Raw genomic sequence first — 12,574 nt, 5'->3', positions numbered from 1 at the left:
GATGGGGAGATATTCTGAGCTGAAGAATTTGCATTTCTAAAAAGTTCCCAGGTGATGTTGATACTACTGATCTGGAGATCATGCTTTGAGAACCACTACTCTCTAGAATAAGAGAAAGTCAGGGATGATTCCAGTTCAAAACTAAATTTCCAACCTAATTACAGCATAAAGATGATCTCTTCTGAAAGCTCCTTAAATGTACAATCCTGGGCCAGGAGCAGCGGCTGACACCAGTAATCCCAGTACCACTTTGGGAGGCTGAGGTGGGAGGATAAGTGGAAGCTAAAAGTTCAAGACCAGCCTAAACAACAAAGCTATACCTCATCTTTGAAAAAAAATAAAAATAAAAAATTAGCCAGGAAAAGTGGTGTGCACCTGTGGTCCCAGCTACTCAGGAGGCTGAGGCAGGAGGATAGGAGGAAGACTGCTTGATCCCAGAAGTTCAAAGTTACAGTGAGCTATGATCACACCACTGCACTCCACCCTTGACAACAGAGTAGGACACTTTCAAAAAAAAAAAAAGAATTTTTAACCTTTTCAGTAGTTTGTACACTTTTTTGCCTAACTTTTCTCTTCCCAACTTCTGTGTCACCCCTGCCATCTATTGGTGGGTCTTTCATGGGCTCTGTCATGGCTCTCTCTGCCCCAGCACACCTCAAGACAAAAAACAGCATCCTCCACTCTGTCCTCTATCTGCACAGAGAAGTTATCAAGATGAGGGACCTGCACAAAAATAGCGATGGCCAGGCAGGCTCTCAGTTCCAGGGATGGAGATAAGAGATCAAAAGGTCATAGTGATAGCAGCTGAAATCCAGCCCCACCCTTAGAGATGAGCAATGGGCATGGGTCCCAGTATCCACAGCTGCAACCTCCAGTATCCCCCTGAGACGTGCACATCAAGATGCTGCCCTGCCCCCAGGATGGAGAGATAGGGCCCTCACAGAGGACAAGGAGACAGAGTACCAGACAGGCTGGTGCAGATGCATCATTAACTCACTTGGGCAATGGCATCTATCTCTCCAGGCCTTGCTCTGCAATTCTTACAAGAAGGAAAATGATCCCCAATTCCCAAAGCCAGTGTGAGAACTTGTAATATAATTAGAATGGAGAGACAGAAGGGACAGAAAAGCCCTCAGAGATCTCTGGATGCAGGGGTTCTGAAATTTTACGATCCACTAAAATCACCTGAAGGGGGGCAAAATGCAGAGTCCAAGGCCTCCCTCAGTGTTTCTGAGTCAGTAGGTGGGTGGTGTGCTGGAGCCCACATGCACCTCTCTTCCCGAGTGACGTTCAGTGACTTCACATTGTTAGCTTGAACTTGACCAAGGTAGAAGTATTTATTTACACTACAGAAATTGAGCAAACGCTATAAATTAGGGTGTTGTGTTTTGTTTTGTTTTGGAAAGCCTGTTGTTGATCACTTAGTAGCACACCATGGGACATTGTGGGTCTCTATTTTCTAGCATCCCAAGAAATTATGATGCAGGCCAACTTTGAGAAACACTAATCTAGTGATGAAGTTCTAACCCAAACCCCTCATGGTACAGATAAGAAAACTGAGGCCCAGGCAGGGGAAGAATCCCAGTCATGGCCTCTGTAGTAAGCTGCTCAGTTCAGGTTGGTGGGAGCTGGGGAGCAGCCCTGCCTCTTTACTTGACCCTGTCCTGTATACGTCTGCTCCACTGAATACCTGCTGAGGCTTATTGGCTACGTGGGGGAGGGTAGGAAAGTCCTGTTGCTTGTGAGCCAAATAGATTACTTCTTATCAGCATTTAGAATTTGAACTACCTGACCAGAGTGCCCTGGACAGCAGAAAATAAATTCCAAGGCTGCCTTGCCCTTCCCAAACCTTAACTATAATCTCTTCCTTGAATTTAGAGAGAGTCCCTAGTATCCTTCCAACAATGTCCATATGTGTCTTAGAGTAACAAGCAATAATCCCTTACTCACAATCAAGACCATCTTCAGAAATACAGCCACAGAGTAAATTAGTGAAAATAAGAACCCAAGATTCCTGCCCCTTTGTCTTTCCCCTACATCATGCCCTGCCCTCAGACGGGATGCCAAAGGACAAATTATTGTGCAAACATGCAACTCTCTAGGGTGGTGGTTTTCAAAGAGTGGTCCTAGACCAGCTATCTTGACAACACCTGGGATCTTATAACAACATGCAAATTCTCAGGTTTCACCCCACAGCGACTGAATCAGAAAATCTGTCACTACCGTCTAGCAAGCTGCATTTGAACAAGTCTCCTAGGAGATTCTGATGTCTGCTAAACTTTGAGAATTGCTCCAGTGGGAGGAGTCATAGCTTAGCCTCCCTAACAATGAAATAAAGGTTGTTCAGGTCAGGGAGGAAAGGCCATCAGGGTGTAAGACCAGCATGGGCTGTGTAGGGCCGGTCACACCACTTCCTCCCCAGCTTCCTTAACCCCATGTACCTGGAGAATCCCAAGAGACTAAGCAGTGGCTGTGCATCCTGAACTAAGATACAGTCCCCCTTTATGAAGCCTAAAAAGCAATACCTTTCCAAAAACAGCAGGACAACCTCAGCAAAGTCATGGCCAGGAAATGCTACTTCTGTCACTGCCTTGGTGCCTAACTGAGGAAGTGACTCACATTGGACCTTCCCTGGCTGTTTAGATTCCCAGAAGCTTGCTCTGTCTTGTCTGGAACAGCTTCTCAGGTCCTTCTGGAAGGAGGACAGCCTGGCTCCAAAAGCCATTTTGGCCTCTCCAGCTCAGAGTCCAGTGTTTCTTCCATTTCCTGTGCTCCCTTCAGGGAGAAAGATGGGTATGAAGGTAACTGAAGAAGTAAGGTCTCGGGAAGAGGGACAAAATTATAATAACAGTGACTACGTTGCCACGTATTGAGTTCTTCCTATATACCAGCCCTGCCTGTACCAAGTACTTTCCATGTTTCGTCTAATAATATGTAGTTATTACTAGCCCCACTTAGAGGGAAGGAAGCAGGCTGAGAGAGGTTAAATAGCTCTCCCAAGGTCAGGCAGCCAGTTTACAGAAGATCAGAGATTCAAACCCAATATGATATGAAAACATATCAACATATCTGCCTGACTCTAGGCTCCTCTGGTTTGTTCCCCTCTCCCCCCTTTTTTTTTCTTTCTAAGACAGGGTCTCACTTCCATCCCCCAGGCTGGAGTGCAGTAGCATGATCTCAGCTCTACAGGCTCAACTTTCTGAGCTCAGGTAGTCCTCCCACCTCTGCCTCCCCAGTAGCTGGGACTACAGACATGCGCCACCAAGCCAGGCTAATTTTTTGTATTTTTAGTAGACACAGGGATTCACCCTGTTGACCATGTTGGTCGGACTCCTGGGCTCAAGCAACCCTCCCACTTGGGCCTCCCAAAGTGCTGGGATTACAGGCATGAGCCACTGTGCCCGGCAGCCCCTCGAGTTTCAATACAAGTGCAGAGGTTCGCCTGGGACAGGAGGAAGTGCACCTGCTGCTGAGAAGGGCAGGATGGGGGCAGACACATAAGAAGGCCTTTTCCCAAAGTGGGAGGCCGGGTAATTTGTGGAGAAGAAAGGGGCATAAGTGGGGGTGGAGCCTTGAGGAATCAGGGATAGGACACACCATCTCCCATGGGAAGTACGGAAAAGAAAGGAATGGATTAGGGATGACAAAAGGAGCCCAGCTGGGGCTTGGAAAACATACATTTGAAATGAAACCAGTGAGGACAATGTGTACAAGCCGGTACTTGGTGACTCCGATCTGAGTCACAAAGTTACTGCGGGGGCAAGGGCTGATCCCAGAGACAACAAGGCCTGCAGATAGAAGTAGCCCATGGGGGCACTTGGGAGCCATCAGGAAGCTGTGGAGCCTGACAAGGAAAGAACTTGCCCCACCTGGAGAGTGCAGCAGCTCTGGGACTGCTTGTGAGTTCTCATCAAGGAAGGTCATTAAATGGCACCACCCCACCACCAGCTGATGAAAACAAAAACCTGAGCTGCCTTTGCTTCCCCTTTACCCCCACTATTTCCCTCCCTGTCTATCCAACTGGTCTGCTAGTCCTCTGCTCTGCCTCCAGGCTCTCTCTCTCCCCCTCCACCATTTCTTATCATTGCAAACCTGGACTCCTGTTTAGAGTTTCTGCGAGGACCTCGCTGCCTCCTTTTCTGCCTTCTAACCTTCATTAACCACACAGCAGCCTGAGTCATCCTTTAACAACGTAAATACGAGCTTGTCCTCCCTCACCTAAAACTCTTTAATTGCTTCTTACTACTGCACTTAGAAAAAAAAATGCAAACCTTTTCTTCTGACTCAAGAAACCCTACATAATTCTTCTCTCTTCTAGGGTCTCAAGTCACATCATCTTCTTGAGAGAAATCTTCCCTGACCTACAAAGAACCATCCCTGGTCATTCTCCTATGAATGCCACTTATCACTCTCTGAAATTCCCTTGATTGTTTATTTGTTTGATTACTGTCTGTCTCTCCCACCTTCCATACCATGAGAAAAGAGACCGTGTCTTCTAGTGCAGTAGCTAGCACACAATAGATATTAGTAAACTGCCATGGAATGGTTCAAGCATGGTAGAGGAAGTAGCTGCCCCATGTGTCAGAGCAAAGAGGGGCAGAGATCATCCAGGAACCAGGTGCAAAAAGAGAAAGAGAACCAACAGAAAACCCAGTCCTTAAAAGAAAGAGGACTTGGGTTTCCAATAATTTTCCCTGAGAAGGACATTCCCATCCCTGGTTTATGAGAACCAACAGCTTCCCTGTCCTGGGGGTCCCATGAGACACCTGTACATTCTAACAAGATTTTTCTTATTTCCCTTAAGCTGGCTTGAGCTTTCTACTTTTGCTTACCAATTTACAAGTCCTCACTTGTTCCCCCTCTGCATGTCTCCTCAGTGAAGACAGCTAAAAGAGAAGGCCCACCAGCAGAAAGCACACAGCACAGCGGATGAGGGCTTGAGGCTTATCTTTTATCTCTTTGACCTTGCACAAGTGTCTTTTCCTTCTCTGAATCTCCACACCTAAGTCCACAGCACCTGAGACCTAGTCCTTCCAGGTGTATCTGATGAGGACTCTGAGCTGACAGATGGTAAGGAAAGGGGCCATCTTTCAGGCAAAATGCATATTCTGTTCATTTTCATATTCCAGGCAGGTCCCAGTGGGAAAGAGGGCCACACGGCTGAAATTTGGACAACAATTTAATGAAGGCCTATTTATGTTCAGGGTTAAGAAAATAATAGCAAGTGGTTTGAAGCATGCGGGGACTGACAACTGCGGGAACCCATTACCACCACCAATTCTAGAGGGACAAGCAGGTAAATCACTTACTGGTGTTCCAGGGCAGCCTTGGAAGAGGCTACCCAGAAGAAACTGTGATCATAAAATCATAGCTCCAAAGAGAAATGGAGAAGAAATTCCCTAACCTGTCTCTGCTCCTTCCTCTGATCTCCAGCCAGTTCCTCTGCTGGCTGAACCCAATCAGGGAACAAGAGAGTCCAGGTGCTACGGTCTGAAGATCAGCTCTTCCAGATGCAGAGCAGAGCAGAGATGATAGAGAAGCTATGGGGGAGGATGCCCAGCTGAATGGTTTATAAGCAGAACCCAGAGAAAAACCAAGACCTACAAACTCTCTAAGTCCCCACAGACACTGCTTCATTTAAATCTCTGTATAGAAGCACTGAACTCCAGAAAGCCTCTAAATTGCCATAATGGTTTTGATAGGCCCAGATTTACAGCCCTTGGCTAAGGGCTTGCCAAAGGCAGAAGCTATGCTATCAAGCACTTGCAACAACTGAAATAGAAGCTTCCAGAAAAGTTTCACCAAGAGATGAAAAATCTGACAATTTGAATAATTGAAAAGCCTTAATGCAAACCCTCAGATAAATTATTGAGGATGTATTAGATTATTGAGGATCCATTATAAAGGATCCTTCTAATAGAAACCATGCCCAGCCCAGGACTTTGTAGGAAATAAAAAATTGATCTGTTTTAAATTCCCTACAATTAACACTACTCAAGATTTAAAACGCCGGCCCTCCAGAACCCATCTATGCCCAAGGCCCATGAGGATAGGGTAGTGAGGGTGGGGTGCAGAGAGAGACAGCTTTCAATCCAGAAGACTAAGTCCCTTCTAGGAGTAAGAACATTCCTAAAGAATGCTTCAGAACATGGTGACCTCACTACTGCCAGAGAAAGTCTAGTACAGAAAACATTAATGAATAAAGACCAATCCTATGCCTGGCACCATGCACATCACTAGGAATACAACCATGATTAAGGCAGGGTCTCTACCTTGGAGTCCTCACAACCTAGTAAATGGAGAAAGATATAAATAGACCATTCCCATAGGAGGAGTTAATTAAGGGAGAGATGAATTAAAATGTCCCAATATAATTGTGTATTTCTGCTTTATATACTGTCAGGCTATGTTATTAGGTGCATATACGTTTACAATTATTACATTCTGCTGGAAATGTTACATTTTGTTATCTTAAGATAGCCCTCATTATCTCTTAATGCTTTTTGTCTTATGGTCAATTTTAGTCAAATTAATATTAATTACACTGCCGTTATTTTAGTTAGTGTTTGCATGGTATATTGTATTTTCATTCTTTTTCTTTTGCCATTCTGTATTCTCATGTTTTAGGTAACTCCTGTAAAAAGCCTACAGTTAGATATTTTTTAAGCCTAGTCAATGTAAATGGAGGTGAAAGAGTTATGTATAATGCAAATCTGTGAGAAGAGCTTTCCCAAAAAAAGGAATCAGTGAAAGCAAATATTCTAAGGCAAGAGTATGGCTGGTATCTTTGAGCAAGAGCAGGAAGAACACTAAGGTGAAACAAAGGAGTGAGGGGAGTACGAGGTGAAGGCAGAGATAGGTAACGGCTGAAGCAATGCCTTTGAGTAGTGGAAAGGGGAGGGATCTGCTGCACAAATAAAAGAAATGGCTCCAGCTAGGGGCACAGAAAGTTAATCGATGGCAACCAAGGGAGAAGAGCACCTATGTTCAGATGCCAGTAGGTGTAGAGATGTTTTGTTAAGAGTCTGTGGAGGCTCTCTTCTGATTGATGCCATCCTTTAAGTGAAGTAACAAGCAAGGTCAGAAGCTTAGAATAAGGATGGTGGAGAGGGTGCTGGGAGTTTGAGGAAGGTATATAAAAGTGATCTAGAAGTAAATGGGAGAGTGAAAGGACTAGGGACATACAAATCCATAGCAGCAATAAGGGCCTAATTAAGTCTCTCATAATCATGGATTCAGGTATTTAAAATGAAGCAATCAATATGGTTTTGTATTTTTCTCCAGTCTTAAAGGTCCTTGATCTAGATGCCAAAGTGGTGCTGAAACTTCTCTACTACATTCTGCTGAATGGTCATCTGGCCTGTGCTTGAACACCTCAAGTGACAGGAAGCCTATAACTGCCTGAGAATCTCACACTACCTTTAGACAGATAGGGTGACAGAAAGTGCTTCCCTATATGGAGCTGACATTTCTCTTCCTGTTAGGTCCCCCTACATTTGAACCTGTGGGTCTGTTTCTGTTGTCTGTTGCTTAAGTTGTACTAGTTCCTCCTACATCTGGTCATCCAGAAATTCATCTATAAATTTGACAACATATCCAGTTGGTGAGGCTGCAAGAAAGAAGAACCGTTATATAAGATGGGTAGAAATACAAAATGCCACATTTCCTAAATCTAGCAAAATTACATATGCAGTTCCCCTTTGACTATACAATCCTATTTCTAGAAAGGATAAAAAATAGTATCGCATTGGATTAAAATTAGATTAAAGTGGTCCCAGATTATCCCCATGTGTATCCCTGCTAAGAAACAATATGAACATTTTGCAAAATTTAGCTCCAAAGATGATTATTATAGCATTTTTATGATAATTAAAATCTGGAAACAACTTACATGTATATAGGGCTTCATTGCATAAATTCTGGCACATCTATTCAATGTAATATGAAATAAGCAAAAAATAATAGAAGAACAAAGTATAGCATAGAAAGATACACACTGAAAAAGACAGACTTTAAAGAGGTTTGATGTTATACATGTTTATAAATATGTACATAAAGATGTGGTATGGTTTGAATGTATGTGTGCCTCCAAAACTCATATGTTGAAATTTAACCTCCAAGGTGATTGTATTAAGAGGCAATGCCTTTAGGAGGTGACTAAATCATGAGGGTTTCACTATTACAGCTGGAATTAGCACCTTTATAGAAGGCCTTAAGGGGGTGAGCTCCCCCCTCCATCTCTTCTGCCATGTGAGGACACAGTGTTTGTCCCCCTTTTTGCCCTTCTGCCACATGAGGATGTAGCAACAGGTGCCATCTTAGAAGCAGAGAGCAACCCTAACCAAATAGTAAATCTGCTGATGCCTTGATCTTGGACTTTCCAGCCACCAGAACTGTGAGGAATAAATTTCTATTCTTTACAAATCACCCAGTCTGTGGTATTTTGTTATAGCAGCAGGAACAAAACTAAGATAAGATGTAAAAGAAAGAACATACGCCAAACTGTTAATGGTGGGTTTATCTGAATGATGGGATAACTAAGAAACACATATATTTTTGGGGGGAGAGATGCTATATTCAAAATTTTCTGTATTGTGTATATATTATTTTATAATTAGGAAAACAAGTTATTTAAATTATTTCATTTGAAAAAACCCTACCAGCACATTCAGGTCAAGACTAACTCCTCCATAAAACCTCCCTAATTTTTTCTTCACCCACCCCCACCCCATCTCCAGCCAGGAGATCTCTAAGCCTCCTCTGAGCTCAGACAGCATTTTGAAATAATAAATCTCAGTAAGGAAGGACAGGCTCAAGAAGAGTAGTCCTGTGTCAAAATTCGGGGATCTCCATTCATGCCCGTAATGACCCCCACTCCCACCACTCTTCCATCTCTGCCCCAGCCTTTGTGCTTTGAGGGAAATCAGGAATAAAACAAAATGGGTCTCACTAGTATTCTCAGTCTCTGGATGTCTCAGCAAGGTTTCTCAGATGAGAGGAAACTTCAAGCCTCCCTCCTCCCTAACATTACCACCTGCCCCCGGAATCCCAAGTGCTTTGGAAGAATGTTACCTCACCTCTGTGAAGGAGGCACCATTAATTCAAATTTACAGGCCACAAAACCAAGGCTCAGAAAGAAGGAAGAATTAGAGATGAATCTGGGAGACCTGCTTGCGATCTGCCTGGGAGAAGGGGATCCTGGCTAAGGAAGCTGAAGCGGGGCTTAGTCCGCCCTCTGGTGGATAAGAGGCTGCTTTGCACCTAGCGGGACGGACTGAGGGAGAGACAGTATTTTAAGCTGCTGCTAGTCCTTTTATTTTGAAATTCTCACCTAATATCATAATAAGATGCATCTATATCTCATATAGAATACAATTTCTATACAACTACATAATAGTTGAGTTTAGTAGACCAACAGACATGAAGACACTTAAATAAACATTTATTTACCTGTCTTACCATATTCATATGTTGAAGCCAATAATATGCTTTGTAAACTTGAACATTTTCATGAATCCTTGAAAAAATTTTAGGCCTTCGGCTCATAGTTCTGGAAACTAAGTGATAAGAAGCCAGTCTCTTGCCTTTGCACCCTTTCTAGAGGATGCCATCCAGGTTTGGGGTGCCAAGGAGGCAGCAGAAGCAGGGACCAGCAATGTGACCATAGCCTGGCTTAGGAAGGGCACACAGAGATGGTGCGATTCTCCAGGCACCGCCTCAGTGATACACGGGGAGGCATGGAACATGTTCATGCTTTGTTCTGCATCCACACTGCAAATGCTCTAATGGCCAAAGGCAAGTGGACTATGACTTCTCCTTTATAACTCTAACTCTTATAGAACACAAGAGTCAACCTGGGTACCCTCAGAGCTTAGCTGAGACCATCCAGGTCTCATCCAGGACTTGAACAGATTTCACAAAACCCAGTTGGAGGGCAACAAGTAAATAAATACCAAAGGGAAGTGAAGTCTGGCTTTATCATCCAAGGCTGGTTTTTACCATCAGGAGCTCATTCTCAGGGCTCAAAAGTTCTATAATATTTCACTTCCATCCCAGAGAGATAATCATCAAACTAGCTTCAAAGGGTTGACTCTGTTCCCTTAGTTCCCACCTTCTCAGTCTCCAGCCTACCTCCACGGGGTCAGTGTCATCTTAACACCCATCGTCAGTGAGCCTTTTCCTACATATCTCAACAACCCTTTCCTGAAATCCAAACCGAAGAAGGGATCAATTCCCTTCTGGTGACCTAGACCTGTTCTCCCAAGTTCTAGTTTCTTATCTGAGAAGCAGGCCTATTGCCCCATATAACTGGGAAAAGTAACAAGCTTACACTAGAGGTGAGACCTTATCTCCTACAGAAGGCCCCTGGCTTTATTACTTATTGTCTCATCCTTATAAGGAGAGCTTAATCCACAATATTCATTTACTAAGAATTAAAAGTTATACAAGCAGTATATTATTCCTTCACACAAGTCATACTACACAGTGAGAATTTATCTCTGTCTGCATAGCAACTTCTATATTTCCAGAGGTTTAGATCTGAGGGCTACTGAAGAATCATCAAATGAATGCTGCAATTTAAAAAGGTTATTCTCCTCTAAAGCAAAGTATCAATCACTTTTTCTATAGCTGTTTGCTAACATCCAGGAGTGGCTTCTTCTCTTGAGCTTTTGCATGGGCAGGATAACCAACTATAGCTAGATCCCCTCCTCTTGGGCAGGTTAAAACATAGCTAAACAACTCTGAGTTATAGAGTGAAGAGAGAGGTGAATGAGACAGTCCTTGCTTGATAAGAGCTCTAGCCTATTGAGGAAGACTGCACTTTCAGACAAAAGAAAACTAAGAGACACAACAGCAGCAAGGACTTACAAGTGAATCAGTTCCTGGATGTGTTTCAAACAGTGAGAAATTAGAAAAGAGGCAGTATCCATGAGCCTGACTTTTCCTACTCTCTCAAATATTCTGTGTTCCTTCTTGCCCTCTTGTCTTGTCTCTACAAACACTCACTAGCTCTTTTGTGTATTATCATAATCTCAAATACCTCCTATTCAAATTCCAGTGACTCCTACATTTAATTATTTACATAGATCTCTCAGACTACACATCACATTAGCCACTTGGAGGTCCCTCAATTTTGTATGACTCTATTAGATACTGTCTTTTCTGGGAAAGGGCAGGTGTATCTAGCATTAAACCCTTCTTTCCAGTTAGCATCCTGACCTCTTATTTGGAGAATTCCCTGTTGTGTGTAGTCTTGGTGGAAGGTAGTGCTTGCTCCCTGTGATGGAAGCTGAATTAAATAGATATTCTCTCACAAACCCAGCATGATGGAGATGCAAGCACATGAGGTAGGCTCAGCTCTCTCCCAGGGCTCTCAATCTTGAGCAAATGTAGAATGACTAAAAGTCATAACCATTACAGTGGCAATAACAACATAAAGACTTTTGTCTCTATGTTTATGGCAATAACAACATAATGAGTTTTGTTCCTCCCCTCTGACATTTTCTGAAGTTTTGCTGTCCAGCCCTTGGAGCATCCCTAGGTTTTCTTCTTGTTTGTTTGGTGATTTTTTTATTATTTCTCAGCTTTGTCCTCCACTTAGCCATTGTAGTAGGCAGCCTCCAAGATACTCACTAATTATCCTTGTCTCCCAGTACTGTTGCCTTTGTGTAATTCCCTCCCGCATTATGCTACGGTTGGTCAATGTCACCCATAGAATATTACAAAAGTAATTTGGGAATAAAGGAGTATTCAACTTCCATCTTGTGCTTTCATTCTCTCTTCCCACTCACGTACTATACTCCAGCAATCAGTTACTCTGAGGTAAGTCATGACATAGGCAACCTTTTGAAGAAGCCCACATGGCAAGAAATTAAAACCTCTTGCCAACAGACACATTAGCAGCCTTAGAGCACATCCTCTGGCCCCATTCAAGTCTTTGAAGACTGCAGCTTTGTCTGACATCTTAGTTGCAACTTCACGAGAGTCTCTGAACCAGGACCACCCAATGAAGCCACTCCCACATTTCCAACCCTCAATAATTCAATGAAACTCTGATATGCTTCCAAAAATTTGCCTTTCTGCATAAGAGGTCCTGAATCCATTTCTATTGCTTACAGCCAAGAATCCTAACTGATACAGAGATTGATACCATGAGTGCAGTGAAGGAAAGAAATGTTTAGCAAAATATGCAAAATATGGGAAATACAGGATCATTTATCTGGCTAATGTATGACAAATAGCACAAAGGCTCATTCATGTCCCAGAATAAAGATCTAGCAGCTATGACGCTCAGCATAAAACTGATTACCTGTAATTAAGTTCTCATCAAATAGAAAAGTTTGGACACTCCAAAGATCTCAGAGTGGAGGTAAATGCTTATGTCTCTACATCCCAAAACTCTCAACTCAAGGCATGCATTGAAACTCAAGGACTTTCCATGATAGTGTTAAAAACAAATTCTCATTGCAGTAGAACTCAGTGTTGCTTGAGTAGTTGCATGAGTAGAACTCATGACAGTGTTGCTGTCATGTCGTAACATGACAGTATGAAGTTCCACTGCACTACACACAAA

General features: G+C 43.2%; 1 annotated feature.

The window, feature by feature from the left end:
* Positions 9,268 to 9,317: a silencer, noted in NCBI's record as "silent region_3177". NCBI's record gives its function as "represses an Ori minimal core promoter by ATAC-STARR-seq in GM12878 lymphoblastoid cells {active_cell/tissue: GM12878}" and the evidence as "EXISTENCE:reporter gene assay evidence [ECO:0000049][PMID:35858748]".

The sequence above is a fragment of the Homo sapiens genome, chromosome 11, assembly GCF_000001405.40.
Source record: "Homo sapiens chromosome 11, GRCh38.p14 Primary Assembly".
Lineage (NCBI taxonomy): Eukaryota > Metazoa > Chordata > Mammalia > Primates > Hominidae > Homo > Homo sapiens.
Note: the sequence above shows the minus strand (reverse complement) of the source record. Positions and strands in the feature narration are given on the sequence as shown.